A 19,139-nucleotide genomic window follows, 5' to 3' on the forward strand; every position below is an offset into this window, starting at 1 on the left:
GGCATGGGGAGGTTGGTAGAAATGACAGTGAGATGGAGTCCAGGACTCCGCCAGCAAGCACAGCCTCTGGATTCTACCTTGCTGAGTGAGCAGTTCATCCCAGATTTTCTGCTACTCACGGGCCCGGGCCTCACACTCCCAGGCCTCATTGCAGCTGGGCCCATGCACCAGCCTATTTGGCCAAAGTGTCTGGATTGGAGAACACTGAGCAAGAGAATCACTTCAAGCAAGGGGTAGGATGTGGAGTAGAACTGCTTTCTCTCTCATCTTCCTGCCAGGAATCCAGATGTTCTCCATCTCTAGACAATTTGTGGTAGATTTAACAGCATCTTCCACTGGATACAGCAGCTGGTGCAGATGCTGCCACCAGAGAGGACTTAAATCATCCTGTTCTATGCAACTGAGGCATCAGGCACAAGAGGGGGGTGTGTGTGTGAGCACATGTGCCCATGAATGTATATGTGTGTGTACATGTGCGAGGTCCTCATCTCATAATCCTAGCTCCTCACTTCCTACGAAGGAAAACTGGGGCAGCCTCACACAGAAGGGAAGAATGTGAATCTGAGGAACATTGGCCAGCCAAGGGTAAGGTGATCAACTGCAAGAGGGCGTTGTTTTCTCTTCCAGGAAAGGGCAGACAGTGTAGGCCCTCCTGTAGTCATCCTTCCCCGCATGTGGTTCCAGCTCTGTTTAGAGACACGCAACAGAGCCAGAAGGGACCTCGTAGGGCATGGAGTCTAACCTGTTTCACAGAGGAGGGATTGGGAGGGGGCTCAGGGCAAGATAATGACTGAGGCAGCTCTTGGTAAGTGATGCTATAGGAGGCCTAGGTGCAGAAGCCAATTTTATAACATTTTGTGATGATGCTTAGTTCACTGACCATGTCCCTGGATTTCATTATAACCACAAACATGCCCAATTCTAGCTGATTAGCCCACCCATTTCCAGTATTTTAATAAAAATCTAATGGTGGTAACTTACTTTCATACAGCAGTTTCCATGCAAATTTTTTTCAATGGTTCTTTTGTTTAACATCTCAACCCTTCTCTGAGGTAGATAACATTGCTATACCCATTTTGTGGATGAGAAAACTGAGGCTTGCGTTAAGATGCTTGTCCTAGGTTGACAACTTTCATTACGATCTGGCTGTAGTTTGATGCATAAAATCTCTGAAGAGCTAGAATGAAGTCACTTTGCATAAGATGCTTTTGCATGGTTGAAACTCAAACTGTAAGTAGTAGAACTGGGATTTGAGCCCAAGATGTCCAACTCCAGACCATAGGTTTCTTTTTCTTTTCTTTTCTTTTAACTTTCTTTCTTTCTTTTTTTTTTTTTTTGAGACAGAGTTTTTCTCTTGTTGCCCAGGCTGGAGTGCAATGGCGTGATCTTGGCTCACCAAAATTTCCACTTCCCAGGTTCAATTGACTCTCCTTCCTCAGCCTCCCAAGTAGCTGGGATTATAGGCAGGCACCATCACGTCCGGCTAATTTTTTGTATTTTTTAGTAGAGGTGGGGTTTCTCCTTGTTGATCAGGCTGGTTTTGAACTCCCAACCTCAGGTGATCCGCCCGCCTCGGCCACCCAAAGTGCTGGGATTACAGGCGTGAGCCACCGCACCAGGTCCAGACCATAGATTTTAGCAACAAGGCTGTACTGCTCCACTGTGGCCTCACCACATATGGCTACATCTCCTTGGAGTTCATTACAATGGACTTTGACCTTCTTCTACACTGCACAAAGCCTTGTATAACTTTCTAGGTGGTACCTTTAAGAGTCTAGAATCTAGCAGCAGTCTGTTTTCAACAGCTGTGAATAAAGGTGAGCATCACTCTGTCACTTGATGAGTGTTGAATTAGTTAAAAAAAAAGGCAACAGGGAAAAAAGGAGATTCGACATGGGTCATTTTTTTGTTAACAGCAAATGATCTATTGAGTCAGTACTCTTGATGGTAAGGTGAAAAATACAAAAATTATGTATCCTTCTGAAGTACCTGCTCTCAGTAACTCACTTTCATGCCAAGAGCAATGAAACAATAAAAGAGCTGATGTCTTGTGTTATGAGAAGTGCTTTGTTGCTGTTTTCTCCAAATTTATGTAACTAGCTTTCATTAAGTTCTGGCTGTTATTTAACGCGTAAAATATGTGGAGAGCTAAAATGAAGCTGAGAGGCCTGTGATGCTTTTTCACTCTTGCAACGTAGCTCTAGCTGAGAGTCTGGAGTTCTTCGCTTTATGTCATTTCCTGTTAAAACCTCCATGTTTTCTTCCCTGGGAACTTTGCCTACTCCAAATCTAGCTCTCAGACGTTCTCTGTGCAGCCGAGGTCTTTGGATAGTGAGCCCTGGATCGGTGAGGAGCATGTGGAGTCAGTGTTATCTGCAGGGTCCTTCCTCCATGGGACTGGAGCCTGGGCTGGAGGGGATGTGGTGCGGCACGCTCCAGGTCCCCAGTGTCTCTTCCCTTGCTTATTCCTCCCCAGCTACACTGCCTCCTTGCTGTGTTTCTTTGAGTGGAAAAAGCACACTCCAAGGTCTTTTTTTTGCATTCTTTCACTCAACAACAATGAACAGAAGCCTTCTGTGACCAAGTGGATGGGGATTTCTTCCCACCAACAAGCAAGCAAGCAATCCTGCAGTGGCACCAGCGGGGTGTCCTCCAATCCAACACCATTCTGATGCTATCTACCTAGAGATAGCGTCAGATCCCATGCGTGAGAGCTCAGTCCCCAAGACTGCTCCCCCAACAACTTTCAGTGTGAATTGCACAGGTTGTTTTACCTGTGCTTCTGACCGACTGACTATAAATCAGGGATCCTCCACCTTGGGGGCTAATTTCTAGAGCAGCTCACAGAACTCAGGGAAACACTTACATTTACTGGTTTATTATAAAGGATATTGCAAAGGATACAGATGAAGAGATGCACAGGGAGAGGTGTGGGGGAAGGGGCATAGAGCTTCCACGCCCTGTCTGGGAGTGCCAGCCTCCAAGAACCTCCATGTGTTCAGCTATCAGGAAGCCTCCCCAACCCTGTTCTCTTAGGCCTTTTATATAGACTTCATTGGATAGGCATGATTCACAACCATGTAGAAATATGATTGTAGAAAAAGGGTGTGATCTAATACGAATAGACTGAGTGGGGAAACCCAGTGAGGCCTGTCCAGATTCCTCTTAGCTTCAGGATGTGGGGCAGGACCCCTTCTGAAATGAAGGTCTGCAATCAGACAAGGTAGGTCAGAGAATTTTTTATTGCCAGCTCCAAGACAGAAAGGTAGGGGAAAATTCCAGCCCTGGGGAGAAGAAGGAGCAGGTGAAAGGGGACAGGAGAAGGGGTGTGTGTGTGTGTGTGTGTGTGTGTGTGTGTGTGTGTGTGTGTATGTATTTGTGATTGTTTTCTAAAGCTGGCTTAAAGTGCCCAACATTACAACAAGGGCTATGAGAGTTGAGCCAGGAACCATGGATGAAAACTCATCTGTCTATCTATCTATCTATCTATCATCTATCTATCTGTCTGTCTGTCTATCTATCTATCTATCTATCTATCTATCTATCTATCCATCCGTCAATCCGCCCATCCATCTGTCTGTCTGTCTGCCTGTCTACCTATCCAAACATTGTTTATCTATCTATCTAATCATCTTTCTATCTAATCTATCTCTATTATCTATCTATCTATCTATCTATCTATCTATCTATCTATCTATCTATCATCTATCTATTTTCTTTCTTTCTTTCTTTCTTTCTTTCTTTCTTTCTTTCTCTTTCTTTCTTTCTTTCTTTCTTTCTTTCTTTCTTTCTTTCTTTCTTTCTTTCTTTCTTTCTTTCTTTCTTTCTCTATCTATCTATCTCATACCATCAGAGTTCCTCAAACTCCTCAACAGTCTCCCTACTCAGGGCATTGCATTTGCTGTTTCCTCTGCCAGGAATGCTCTTCCCCTAGGGAGCTGTGTGGCTCCTTTCTCTCTTTCTTTAGCTCTTCGTGCAGACATCACCTCCATGAGGTCTTCTCCTATTAAGTTGAACCCCAACACCCTGTGTTTTCTTTCTTCTTTTTCCTTCTTATTTTTCTCCATAGCACTTTTCACCATTTAACATATTTTACAAATATCTATGTACTTGGTTTCTATCTCCCCTTACTTAAATGTTAGCTCCATTGTGGGGGGAGAGATTTTGTCTGTTTTATTCACTGCTGTATCTCCAGCTGCTAGAAAGAGCCCTGACACATAGTGTGTCTTCAACAAATATTTATTGAGTGAATGAATGAATGCAAATCCTCAGAGGTCAGAGGGACAGATAGTACCCAGTGGTGTGAACATGGAGGGAGTGGCTTCTGCCTCAAAAGGGTGGAGACAGATGAGCTCCTCCCTGACAGCCATGCTCCATGGAGGCAGCTGGTTCAGGAGAGTGCACAAGACCCAGAGTCTGGAGAACTGTGTGCAAGTGGAAGCTCCAATGTCAAATTAATACAGCCAAGTGACTGGACCCCCTTCACATTTCTCACCTGATAAACAGACACAACCACAGGGGGTCGGGTCTGCTCTGTCTGCTTCCCAGATCCATGGGCTCTGGACACCACTGAACTCCCCCCTCCCCTCCCTTCCCCTCCTCCACTGTCACCCACAGCAGCCTGTCATTGTCCTGAAAACATTCCAAGTTCATTTCTGCCCCAGAATCTTAATGCTTGCTGTTTCCCATCTGCGTAGTTTCCCAGAGATCAGAGTTGGCTCCTTTCATCATTTAGGGCTCTGCTCATGAATGTCGCCTGCTTAGACAGGTCTTGACCACCCTATCTATAGAGGCACCACCTGCCCCCCTCCAACAATAGAATCACACACACAAAAAATAAAATCACACACATAAAAAATAGAATCACAAAAAAACAATAGAATCACAAAATTTGCCTTTACCATAACTGGCTTCTTGGGCTCTCTTATCGTTACCTAAAAGTATCTTGTTCCTTTCCTTGTTTGTTGCCTGTCTCTCAGCCTAAGCCCTGTGAGAATGGGGTCTTCATCTATCATGTTCTCCACTGCATGCTCATTGCTTAGGGCAGCACTCAGCATGTCATATGCCCTCAATAAATATCTGCTAATTGAATGCACAAATTAAATGAGAGAGTGGATGTGAAATGTACTCTGTAAAGTACATAAACCTCCATGGACAAGAAGACCTATTATTTCTGGAGTGTAACTTGTGTCTCCTCCCCTGAGGAGTAACTGTGGCCCCTCATCTCAGAGCACAAAGAGTGGGCATGCTCCCTGGGAGGAGGTTAGAGGTCACCAGGAGGAGAGTCTCTCTTTACAGTCAGGCAGGGTGAGCAGAGGGGGCACAGTGAGGGGGCGGGACATGATGTCTGGTCCACACTGAGCCTCAGGGAGAAGTGAGTGAGTTCAATAAAGAATCCAAGCAAGGCGGCCTTGACTCTTGAAGGATCTGGAATCTCAGCTGAGCAGCCCCCAGCCTGGCTTCTGAGAAAGAAGGGCCTGGCAGAAAAAACCCTGCTGCCCAGGCTCCTAAGACACTAATGGAGGTGAGACCAGGTTCTCCCATCTTGTGGCTCCCGGGATACCACTGGACAGGTGGTCCCCTTGTCTCATATCATTTCACCACTGCAAGGCTGACGCATGGTTTGGGGCCATTCACCTCCCTTCGTTGGGTCCTTCCTTGACCTGGACTTCCTGAGTCTGTGGCTCCTAGATACAGCCCATGTTGGGCTCCTGCTTGCAGGAAGTACTGGTCCAAGACACAAGGCACCAGACAGTAATAAAGGCAGAGTGTGGCCGATGGTAGGAGGCCGCAGTGGCCTGTGTTCCTGTGTGGCAGGAAATGCCTGCACATCCCATTGTGATGCTCCTTCCCCTCTGCTCGGGGTCCTGGTTGGAACTGACAGTGGCAATGATATACCAGCTGGCAGCCTGTTTCTAGAGCGTGTTTGTACTCACTCACCTGGTTTATTCAGTAGACAGGCTGTTTGAGATTTGGGGGGAAAATTGGGGCTATGCAGTGCATTGATGCAATGGTACAGAGGGAACTCGAGGCTGGGATCTCCCCCACTGAGCCCTCAGAACAGAGACATTCTCCTCCTCCAAGGAGGGAAGTCTTTCTCCAAGACTTCCTACGGGCCTACCAGCTTTCTAATGGTTCTTGGAATATTTCCAGAGTCTTCTCCTGTATATTCACAATATCAATGAATGGAGAGAAATTGATGGAGATAATGATCTTCACTTTTCATGAGGGGAGACTGAGGCATCAAGTAAGAAAATGTCAAGACGTTCATCCAGCACAGTGTTTCCTGGGATCTCAACTAAACAATGCCTAGACTCCTCCATATGTGGCAAAGAAATAGACTGGTCACTATATTAGCCCGTTTTCATGCTGCTGATAAAGACATACCTGAGACTGGGCAATTGATAAAGAAAAAGAGGTTTAATGGACTCACAGTTCCACGTTGCTGGGGAGGCCTCACAATCATGGTAGAAGGCAAAAGGCATGTCTTACATGGTGGCAGGCAAGAGAGAATGAGAGCCAAGAGAAAGGGGAAACCTATAACTACCATGAGAACAGTATGGGGAAACCACCCCCCTAATTCAATTAACTCCTACTGAGTCCCTCCCACAACATGTGGGAATTATGGGGTGTACAATTCAAGATGAGATTTGGGTGGGGACACAGCCAAACCATGTCAGTGACACTACACAAAATGATCCCCAGGCCATAGAGTCTATGGGAGGGTGGCTTCTAACAAGACCCCTTGGCAAGACCCTTTGGCCTTTCTGGGAGTTCCCTTGAATGGCAGCTGTCTGTGGAGGAGGTGGTGGGAGAGGGAAGACACCAGAGGGAAGCAGGTTCCTGCTGTTTGTGTAGCTTGAGCTTTGCCTCCACCCATTCCTTCTGGATGAAGACAAATTGTTCCGGACATGTCTTGAACTTTTGGTTACATCTTCATCTAATCACCATCCTAGCCCTTCCTTATTGAGAGCCTGTATGTGCCAAGTGCTTTATATAACTTACCTCTAATCTTTGCAATGACTTAGAGAGGTTTACCAATGAAGAACGGTGGTAGAAAGGTCAGGACTTGTCTAGGCTTGTGGAACTAGGGTACTGCCTGGTTGTCTCTGATTGAAGACCTGAGCTCCATCTGCCACCCTCATCCCTCCCCCATCTCCCCTGCCTTGTACCCCACAGCTTCATGGTATGGGTAGACAGGCACCTTCAGCATTAGAGACATGAGAGTGGACAGCGAGGTGACTCTACAGGACATTTTATCCTAAGGTCAGGGGTTCCACCATTGCTTTGATGTGTCTCCCTGGAAGCCCTTGACTGGCAGAGAGGGGGTGGTGATGCAGAAGCTCTTGACTGGCAGAGAGGGGCTGGTGATGCAGAAGGGAGTGGTGGGCCACACTGCCTTCAGCCCTGCCTCAGTGACTGTTAGTGCTACCCCAGGTGAGTGGCTTCAGAGAAAATTGCCTCTAAGACTCTGCGGCGGACAATATGAGTTGGAGAGATGTGGGTGCAACTCTACTTATTGGCTGTGACCTAGGACAAGTTACTCAACTTTCATGAATTTGCTTATATGTAAAATGGGCAGGATTGTTGGGAAGGTGAAACGAGGCTATGGATGGCAAGCATTCAGCAGGGGGTCTGGAATACTGGAGGCATGTGACCATGGGAGGCATTCTTACTCTTATTACTGTACCTTCAAAACTGGGAATTATGCCTGGTGCGGGGGCTCACACCTGTAATCCCAGCACTTTGGGAGGCCAAGGCAGGCAGATGACTTGAGGCCAGAAGTTTGAGATCAGCCTGACCAACACAGTGGAACCCCGTCTCTACTAAAAAATACAAAAGTTAGCCGAGTGTGGTGGTGCACACCTGTAGTCTCAGCTACTGGGGAGGCTGAGGCACAAGCATCATTTGAACCTGGGAGGCAGAGACTGCAATGAGCTGAGATTTGCCACTGCACTCCAGCCTGGGTGACAGAGGAAGACTCTTGTCTCAAAAAAACAAAAAACAAACAAAAAAACCCCCCAAAACAAAAAACTGGAATTATGGGCTGGGCATGGTTGTTCATGTCTGTAAACCCAGCACTTTGGGAGGCCGAGGTGGATGGATGCCCCTGAGCCCAGGAATTCAAGACCAACCTGGCCAACATGGCAAAACCCCATCTCTACTAAGAATACAAAAACTTAGCCCGATGTGGTGGTGCATGCATCTGCACCAACTACTGGTCCCAACTACTGGAGAGGCTGAGGTGGGAGGATCACCTGAGCCTGGTAGGTTGAGGCTGCAGTGAGCTCTGATCATACCACTGCACTTCAGCCTGGGTGATGGGAGTGAGACCCCTGTCTCAAAAACAAACAAACAAACAAACAAACAAACTGGGAATTATGCTTCAGTTCTCCAGTATGCAGTTTCATAAAGTCACCTCAATTATAAACTTCCTTCCTTCCTCTCTGCTTGCCTCCATCCCTCCTCCTTTCTTTCCTTCCCAATTCCATAACTGTGCATTGAGAGGCTAGCTTGATTCCACAAGGAGCAGTTCTAGGCCATTGGACTATTAGGACCCCTGCCCTGCAGGAACCAACAGTCTTACCCATGGCTTCTGCTACCCTCACCCTCTCCCCTCATCACCCTAGTTTGCACACGGTCCTTTGAAGCTACTGTCACTGCTGTTTAGTGACAACATTCCTGTCTGCCTTTGTATCCCACATTCGAGCTGATGTGGGGTCTGGCTTCCCTGGAGAGGAATTAGACAGCACGGTCATAATGAGTTTGTGGCATTATTTCTCTCTCGGCCCCTCTTGCAGGGATCAGAATGAAGTTGTCATTGCTCTGTGGCCAGAACGGTCCCTGGAAAAAAACTGCAAATGACCTTCCCCCAAGCGGCAGCATTTGGGGCTTAATTGTGTTTTGTTAATCAGGAAAACAATTAATTTGGCTGTGCCTCTTTGGTGGGGTGTTTTTTTCTTTCTTTTTTAATACAGTAGATGCTGCTAAGATGATCCATGTGATGTTTCTAGATTCAATTTCTCTCTCTCCCCAAGGCAAAGAATGACTCTTCTCTGTATCCATGACATCCGGAGACAGCAGAGCGAGGCATGGAGTTTTCCAAAGAAGACTGGTTTCTAAAACTTAATATCTGTTTCACAGCAATAGGACGACTCCTCTGCCCAAGCTCTTGCACAGTTTCAGGAATAGGAATGAGACTGAGGCAGAGGAGTGACAAATCACAGACCTGTTTCAAAGTAGGAATGCAGAAATTTCTGCATTCTGTCCCCTCTTCTGATCTCCTCCCCACCTCATATGATAGAAAATGGTGAAATAGGCACTTTGCTGTGCAGGAGCTACACCGCAGAGCTCAGAGAATCACTAGATCTAGAAACTGAAAGGATGAGCATGGGGAGATACAGTGTGAACCTGGATCCTTTGGATAAATTCACTCCCACAGGTTAATGACTGATGATGGCTTAACTTGAGGCAATGCCATAGAATGCCATCCCCAAACCAAGAGAATTACTCCTAGGGTGGTAATCAGGCTTTGGAGGGTGGTTATCAAGTCCCCTCCAGTCACACCATATGACCTGAATAGTCCTTGGAATAGAACACATGTAAATCTGACCCTGTAGACAGTAACCAGTGGCCATGTTTAGAAAGGATGCCCTGCAAGGTGACCCATTTTTGTTTTGTTCACTGATGTATCCCATGGCTTAGAACATTCTGGCGTATGGTAGATCCTCAAATATAGGTTAAAAGAAGGATGTGGGGCCAAATTTAACACAGAGGATAATAAGCCCCTTGTTGTGTGTGTCAGTCAACCTGAGTTTGAGCAAGTGTAGATACCAGTTTGTCTTCCACTAAACCCCTGGATTGGGGGATGATTTCTGACATGAGAGAAGGATTTATCTCACTGTCCAGGAGTCAATGACAAGGTCTTCAACAAGAAGTGAGGAAGAGGGAAGAGAAGAAACTTTTACCAAGGAACTGCCAAGTGGCCAGCTCTGTGCCAGGTGTTGTATGATGAACACTACCTCATTTTATTTCCCTTAAAATAATTGTGTGAGGTGTGTTCACATTTTTACAGTTGAATAAACTAGGGCTTAATAAAGAAGTTAAGTAACTTATGCAGGGTCATACAGATGGAGGAATTAACTTGACTTCCAAACTCATGTTCTTTCCACTCGTCCACAGAACTTCTCATTTTTGGAATGCTTGATTAACATGAGTGGGTACATTCTGTATGTTCAGTTTAGTAGGAGTGGGGAGGGGCTGAAACTCAAATTAACATGACTCTGTTCTTCTCCTTCAGATGCCTGGACTCCTTGGCTTTGACTGCTTTTTAGCCACTCACTGGCTATGGACATATCCTTCCTCCTTATGCTTAACCTCTCTGTGCCTCAGTTTCCTCATCTACAACGGTGATAACAACAGTACCAATTTTATAGCATCGTTGTGAGAAGTAAGTGGGTGAAGCACTCATACTTGAGTCTGGTCCATGGCATGATTGATGTAAGTTAAGACTGTTATTAGGACAAGCTCTGTCTTTATACACCCTGTATCAATTGAGGGTCACTTGTGTACTATGTAGCTCTTAACCTATTAAGGAAAGCCTGGTCCCCAGGTACTGTCTCCAGAAAAGCATCAAACCTCTAACCAGGCTCTACTGAAATGCTGATTATTTAACGCCAGGAAAGTACACCTCTGTCTAGATGCCTTTTTATCACTCTAGTACAAGCATGGAAGGTATTATTACCTGGAGCTGAAAACATATGTTTACAAAGAATTTTTATTGGAGGTTTACCCTGTGTGCTGTTGTTAAGCTCTATGAAAGGGCTTTGGAGATGAAAGTGAGAATGCACAGACCACTTCAACATGCGCATACCACTTCAACATGCCCATACCACTTCAACATGCACAGACCACTTCATCATGCACTGACAACTTCAACATGTGCATTCCACTTCAACATGCATGGCCATTTCAACATGCACCTACCACGTCAACATGCACATACCACTTCAACATGCACCTATCACTTCAACATGCATGGACCATGTCAGCATGCACATACCACTTCAACATGCATGGATTATGTCAACATGGGCATATCACTTCAACATGCACAGAACACTTCAACATGCGTGGACCACTTCAACATGCACATAGCACTTCAACATGCTTATACCACTTCAACATGCATGGACCACTTCAACATGCACATTCCACTTCAACGTGCATGGACCACTTCAACATGCGCATTCCACTTCAACATGCATGGCCATTTGAACATGCACCTACCACATCAACATGCACATATCACTTCAACATGTATGGACCACTTCAACATGTGCATAGCACTTCAACATACATATGCCACTTCAACATGCACAGACTACTTCAACATGTGCATTCCACTTCAACATGCATGGACCATTTCAACATGCACGTATCACTTCAACATGCTCATACCACTTCAACATGCATGGACCACTTCAACATGTGCATTCCACTTCAAAATGCATGGCCATTTCAACATGCACCTACCATGTCAACATGCGCATATCACTTCAACATGCACCTACCACTTCAACATGCACAGGCCATGTCAACATGTGCATATCACTTCAACATGCATAGACCACTTCAACATGCACCTACCACTTCAACATGCACTGACCATGTCAACTTGTGCATACCACTTCAACATGCACAGACCACTTCAACATTCATGGACCACATCAACATGCATGGCCCACTTCAACATGCACAAACCACTTCAACGTTCATAGACCACTTCAACATGCATGGGCCACATCAACATGTGCATACCACTTCAACATGCACAGACTACTTCAACATGCATGGACCACTTTAACATGCGCATATCACTTCAACATGTGCATATCACTTCAACATGCACAGACCACTTTAACCTGCGTGGAACACTTCAACATGTGCATACCACTTCAACATGCGTGGCCCACTTCAACATGTGCATATCACTTCAACATGCACATACCACTTCAACATGTGCGACCATTTCAACTTGCACCTACCACTTCAACACGTGCATACCACTTCAACATGTGCATAGCACTTCAACATGCACAGACCACTTCAACACGGATGGACCACTTCAACATGCATGGACCACTTCAACATTTGCATATCACTTCAACATGCACGACCACTTCAACATGCACAGGCCACTTCAACATGCACATTCCACTTCAACATACACGGCCATTTCAACATGCACCTATCATGTCAACATGCACATACCACTTCAACGTGCACCTACCACTTCAACATGCATGGACCATGTCAACGTGTGCATACCACTCCAACATTCACAGAGCACTTCAACATGCATGGACCAAGTCAACATGCACGTACCACTTCAAATGCACATGCCACGTCAACATGCACAGACACTTCAACATGCATGGACCACTTCAACATGCTCATACCATTTCAACATGTGCATACCACTTCAACACGCATGGACCACTTCAACATGCTCATACCATTTCAACATGCACGTATCACTTCAGCATGCATGGACCACTTCAGCATGCTCATACTATTTCAACATGCTTATACCATTTCAACATGCGCATACCACTTTAACATGCATGGACCACCTCAACATGCACGGACCACTTCAACATGCACAGACCAATTAAACATGCACAGACCACTTCATCATGCACGGACCACTTCAACATGCACATTCCACTTCAACACGCACAGATCACTTCAACATGCGCATACCACTCTGGTCGTGGAGGATGCCCTAACCTCCAATGACTTGTTTATGAAGGGCTGTGTGGTTCTTTCTTGCTCTCCCCCTCTCCCTCTTTGCAGGGAAGAGTAGAGGGAAATTAGGGCCAGTAGAGATGACCCACAGAGTGGCAGAGAAAGTCAATGCCATAAGCTGATTCCAGAATGGTTGCTCAGGTGGGCATCTGCTTTGGTGGCAGAGTCGAGGAAGCAGCCTCTACGGGGTTAATTGTTGGATTAATCCCAGAAGCTTTAGCGGAACTGTGACTAATTCTCCCCACCTTTAGGTGCCTTTTACTAAGGAAGTTAGAACTCTTGCATTCTGCTTCAGAATCTATCTTTACAACACTGCTGCAAGACAGACTTTGTCCCTTTTTTTGCAGATGAAGGAATTGAGGCCTTAGGGAGTCGTGTGTACAGCCTCATCACACAAGGAGGGTCATAGCAGAACTGACCTGAGACCACCAGGGGTCTCTACACCTGAGCCCCCATCCTTTCCACTAGACCATCCTTTCTACTAGACTCCATCTGTTTTCCACAGGGGACGACTTTGCCCACCAGGCCATGTGGCAACATCTGAAAATATTTTTGGTTGTCACAACTGAATAGGCGGTGCTGCTGGCATCTGGTGAGAGAGGCCAGGGCTGCAGCTGCACACCCTCCAACGCACAGGACAGTACCCCATGACAAGGAATTCACCTGCCTAAATGTCAGTAGTGCTGAGATTGAGAAACCCTACTTTAGATGGATCTTCTTGCCACCCAGAAAGGACTCAAGGACAACTTTTAAGAAGAGAGTGCTGAGTTGGAGCCCTGCCATGCTTCAGCAACCACCTTCCCCTGTTGAGAACCACTGTCCTGGAGCAATTTCCCCCAAACTTCTGTGAGGACAGGAATCATCAAGTCACCCATTAGAGCTGTAGTTTTCTTCATCCCTTCTGCTGGAGATCCTGATCCAGTCTTTTAAAAAAAATTTCTAAAAATATTTTTAAGAAAAAAAATTTGCAGTTTGAGTGTCTCAGGTGGTTTTTATTACCAAGAAAGTCTGGAAACTACCTTAAACAGTTTCAACATGCACGTACCACTTGGATGGGGCTGGTCTTCAGTTGACATTGCTCATGGTTTAAGAGGGTTACCTCCTTTCTTTCCCTCACAATGATGTAAAGCTTGATGGCTGACATGACAAAACATGTTAAATTAATTAGCACGTGGATGACTCAGAGGTCCCACCCTCCTTGGAGGTATGTTTTTGAACAGAGGAGCTTCCTTCCAGCCTGCTGATGATGGACAGTAAGAGGAGATGAAGGAGCACTGACCAGTGCTCAGAAGACCTGGACTGGGGTCTTAGCTAATGATGTTTCCCTGGACAAGCATCTTCAGTGTCCTGAGCCTCAGTTTTCTCATCTGCAAATCAGGCCTACCAGGGGATGTCCTATCTTTCAGGGCAGCCATGAGGAGTAAGGAGATGATGCCACACCTTCTGGCTGTGCATCAGAATCATCTGTGGGCCTTTTTAAAACTACAAACACCCAGGTCACATCCAAGACTACTCATTCATTCTTAGCGATAAGGTCCATATTTAAAAAGTAGTGCTCCTTTATGAAGTGTCACAGGTAAGTCTTTAGAAAACTAGAAAGCTCCTCAGAAAGTACCTTGTAAACTAAAAAGTGCTGTTCAGATAAAAGGGATTCTTTCATTCTCACAGATTGCTGATCCCAGCCATAAATGGTACTATAACAGTTTCCTATTTGGCCTTGTCAGATCATCATACACATTTGACTACCTAAGCAGATGGTGCCATGTCTTGTGGATATTTTGAAAAAATAGGACAGGCTCCCATCTGCCCGCAATGACTCAGGGGCTGCCTGTCTTTCCCAGAGGCAGAGGCAGTGGCTGAATGTCCTCTGAGGATGCCTCTGGCACCAGGGGGCCTTGACAGTGTCTCCTCCCAAGGCAGGGGCCATCATGGATAGTGCTCACGCCAGCAAATTGTAAGGACGCAGCTGCACATCATCCACCAGTGCAAGTTGTGGAAACCGGGGCCAGGCTCTGTGCTGCCTATTTCCTTCTGCCAGAGGGGGTGATCCCCCAGATGAAGGATGGAGCAGGGGGTTCTTCCTGCCTTCCTAATGTCTCCACCCCGGGCCATGGATGGGGACAACAGAAAGGAAGGGACCTTGCTAAATATAAAGCTCTGTGCAGGTGGAAGAATCATCATGATTGCTTGTATATTGTCCTTACTATGACTATGGATTTCTCTCTTTCTCCCACTGCAGCAAGACTCAGGGCAAGTTTGGCACCACCTGGTTGATCCCTGAAGGGTGGCTGTGCCCTTGTCCCATCACTTCTCTGATCCTCAGCCTGGGAGCAGGAGGAGGGCTGCAGGCTGGTGTGATGCTGACCAGCAAGGTTCTTCCTTGCAGAAGGGGTAAGTGGTGGCCACTCCAGATTGTGCAGGCTGGAGCCTACGCAGTACTCCTCTTCTCCCAGGGACAGAATGGAGCTACCTGGAGGTGACTGTAGGAGATGGTGAACACAGCATCTCCCTGGGGGGCCTGTAGTTGCGAAGTGCTCCTCCTGGGCTCCACTCCAGCTTTGGAACCAAATGCCTCAGATCTTGCTGTCTGCCTAAAATGCTGGAAGCTCATGGACCCATCAGCTTCTAACTACCCCTTTGGTTGTCCCTCTGCAGGCTTCTCCAGACCAGGTCTGCTGCCCCCTCCTCATCTCAGGATGTCCAACTTTCCTGATTTTGCTAAGGTGTGCAATATTCTCCATTTACTTGGGCCTTTCCTTCCTATCTTCCTACACCTTAGCATCTTCTGTTTCTGGACAGAAAACCACCAACTGCTGTCTGCTTGCCTGCTCCATGGAAATGGTTCTATCCCAGCCAGTTCTGCTGGGAACTGGGCTGGGAACTCTTTGCCAGGGAGGGCTGTGTGTCTGGTCTTTGAGAATACACTAGGTCAGAGGGCTCTCCTTTCAGCTCCCTTGGAGGCCAGGATGTTCTTCTTGTACCTGGATGACTGGTCACTGTGCTCCACTTAGACCACTGCGTTGAAGAATTGAGGGAAAAGGAGAGGCTGAGACCTTGGGTTAGAAGGTGATGGGATACATTTTTATTAAACTTTGTGGAATGGAATTAAATCATCCTGAGGGAAAATCTAAGAATAAGAAAGAATATTATTATAAAAGGAGGAATAAAGTTCATTTGCAGCTACTGTACTTAAACTTCTAGACCAGGATAATGCAGTCCTTTCGAATTCAGAATAGAGAGGAAATGATCATGTTAGTTGAAGATGCTGGCTAGTCCTAAACAAGATTTAATCCTCTCTTTCTTTCACACACACCCATATACTCCAGCACATGCCTATGTGCTCACACACACATGCACACATTCAAACACATGCATACCTGGTCTGGGGCACCCTACCTGCACATCTATGCACCAATTTATCACCTGCGACCTTCATTAGTCCTCATTTGCATGCCCATGGAGCACAATTCCCTTATTATTTTCTTTGTTGCAAATGCAGAGCGTAGGAGGGGCCTGGGTTGGCTATATTTTCTCATTCCCAAATCCTGTGATGTAGGTTTCAGTCACTGCCCACAGTGAGGACCTCTCCTGCATATGAACCTCTCAAGGGCAGGGACTGTGCTTTATTCATCATTGGGTCTCTAGTGCCTTGTATGGTGCCTGGCACACAGTAGGTGCTCAATAATTGTTTATGACACTGAAATTTGGAGTCTGACTCAAGGTAATAAAATTTGGTGGAGACTGCTGCCTGTCCATCAAAACTCATGTCCTCTTCTTCCAGGGCATACAACTAGAATAATTTCCCTCCTCTGATGTTAGATCAGGCCATGGGTCTGAGATCTAATCATAGAACATGAACAGAAATGATAAATGCCCCCTCCACACCTGGCCTGTCAAAACCTCTCCCTGTCTTCTCTATGTCCTTTTTCCCTCTGGCTGGTTGAAATGCCCATTCCCAGGGAAGCCTTAGAATTCACACACTGAAGATGGCAGAGCAGCTGGTGGCTTGAGCTCTGAATAACTACATGGAGCAGAGCTGTGCTTTCAACCTGGAAACCCATCTAGACTATCACATAAAAGGGAAATAGACTTCTTATTCTTCAGGCCACTGAATGCCTTGTGTCTGTTCTTACAGCTCTGCCTCCCCCAAGTGATACTCCCCATGTGGCCATGGGCCTGGTTGGTCACCCTGGACTCACAGTGGAAGGCTGTGAGTTCATGGAGCTGTGGTGCGGGATTGGGCAGAGAGCCCATATGCTCTTGGATGCATGTTTCACTCCTTTAGACCTCTGCCTACAAGACCCTTGCAGCAGGGGCTGGGTTCTGTTTCTCAAAGGCATAAGAGAAATAAGGTTAGGGAATTCCTTCCCAGAAACCAGATCCCCAGGCTGTTAGTCTGACTCTGATGCTGTCTGCTGTGGGGCCCACTGTGGGTCCCTATTCTACCCTACTTGTTTTCCCATTTGAAAAGCTAAAATAATCAGGGTGCTGTGTATCCCTGTGGGATAAGAAGGGAGGACTTATTAAGGACAGTGTCTTAAGGACTTAAATTTTATTTAGAGGAGAGAGAGTGAAACAATGTGGTACAAAGAGAAAGAGCCCTGGGGAGAAGCCAGGGGACATGGCAGGAACACTGATCAGATTGAAGGGGACTGTCAGTCAGGGATGTCAGCAGGTGCTGCTCCCTCCCCCAAGTCACATGGTTATCTCAGCTACAGTGTTTGGCCCCATCCCAGGGCTCAGGGTTACCTCTTGTCCTGTTGCCTGTGGCCCACAAGGTGCATGGCCAGTGGCTAGGATGGACAGCTCAAGTGACCCTGGATACTCAGAGCATCTTTCTGAGGAGCCTGGGCTGAGGCTTTTCTCAGCTGTTGCCTGACCCTCATCACATCCCTTTCCAAAGGGCCAATGACTAACTCCCTATGGGGCACCCAAGGACCACCCAACTGGAGCTACCACCTTGTTTATAGGGAGTGCTATAAATGAATGCATTTTAGGCAGATAAATGAACGCATATTTAGAGTTCATTTAAAGAGGAAAATAACTTTTTTCACATTATTAAAAAAATGCATGGCTATAGTAGAAAATGGGAAAATTCAAATACTTATAAGGAAAAAAAAAATAAGAGCTGCAATTCCATCCCCCAGAGATAACCATTGTCAAGACTTTTTATGCAACTTTTTCATTCTCCTCTCCTTCCTCCCTCTCCTTCCCTCTCCCTCGCCTTTCCCCATCTCATTCTCCCTCCCTTTCTCTTTCTCCTATCTGATAAATCCTATTATTCTGTTTATCTAGCTATATTTAAACAATATGAAATTCTATTCTACATCTTTTCTACATCTGCTCAGTTAGCATACTTCCACATCAACAAATGGAGCATCATTTAAGCCCCAGAAAAGTGTTCTGTTATATGGCTGAAGGATGGGCAAGTTTTTCTGTTATTTTTCCTCCTTGCACTCAAAGCGTGGTCCCCCAACCAGCAGCATCAACATAATCTGTGAGCTTGATAGAAATGCAAAATCTCAGGCCCCCACCCCAATCTGCTGAGAGGGAATGTGCATTTTAACAAGATTCCCAGGTGACTCATGTACATGAGGGGCTGAGAGGCTGGGCGTGGTGGCTCATGCCTATAATCCCAGCACTTTGGGAGGCTGAGGTGGGTGGATCACCTGACGTCAGGAGTTCGGGACCAGCCTGGCCAACATGGCAAAACCCCATATCTACTAAAAATACAAAAAGTGGCCGGGTGTGGTGGCGTGCGCCTGTAATCCCTGCTACTCGGGAGGCTGAGGTGGGAGAATCATTTGAACCCAGGAGGCAGAAGTTGCAGTGAGCTGAGATTGCACCACTGCACTCCAGCCTGGGCAACAGAGTGAGACTCCATCTCAAAAAAAAAAAAAAAAAAAAAAGTTTGAGAAGCGCCAGTTCAGCTGTGTGCCCAGGAAATATGAACACAAATGTTACTGAGTTCTATATTAGCTCCTCTGATTCTCAAAATAGCTTTCTGAGGCAAATGTCATCACCTTCCCTGCTTTGGTTGAGATGTTGGAAACTGAGGCACAGAGAGCTTCAGCTACCTGCCCAAGGTCACAAAGCTGGGCAAGCGAAACAGGTGGCTTGAAGCCAGAGTCCCTGCACTTCCCAAGGGCTCTGTGTGCCTCCCCACGGCCCCTGCTGTGATGGGAAGAGCCCTTGAGTAGAAATCAGCAGACCCAGGTCCTGAACTTGTCAATTATGTGAACTTGGGTAATCCATGCAACATTTAGGGGCCTGAATGTCCTCTTCAATGTTACAAGCACTAGTCTTATGTAAAATAATATGTCAGAAAA

At 46.4% G+C, this 19,139-nt stretch overlaps 1 long non-coding RNA gene across 1 annotated transcript in view; it reads left to right on the forward strand.

Annotated features, from left to right (window-relative positions):
• Positions 1 to 17,932, forward strand: part of LOC107986849 (uncharacterized) — a 37,873-nt gene extending 19,941 nt beyond the window's left edge. The window contains exons 2-3 of the long non-coding RNA XR_001745363.2: positions 10,301 to 10,450; positions 13,158 to 17,932. This is a non-coding gene — a long non-coding RNA (uncharacterized LOC107986849). The remainder of the gene's footprint in view (positions 1 to 10,300; positions 10,451 to 13,157) is intronic.
• Positions 17,933 to 19,139: the final 1,207 nt, after the last annotated feature.

Source organism: Homo sapiens, chromosome 7 (assembly GCF_000001405.40).
Source record: "Homo sapiens chromosome 7, GRCh38.p14 Primary Assembly".
Classification (NCBI taxonomy): Eukaryota; Metazoa; Chordata; class Mammalia; order Primates; family Hominidae; genus Homo; species Homo sapiens.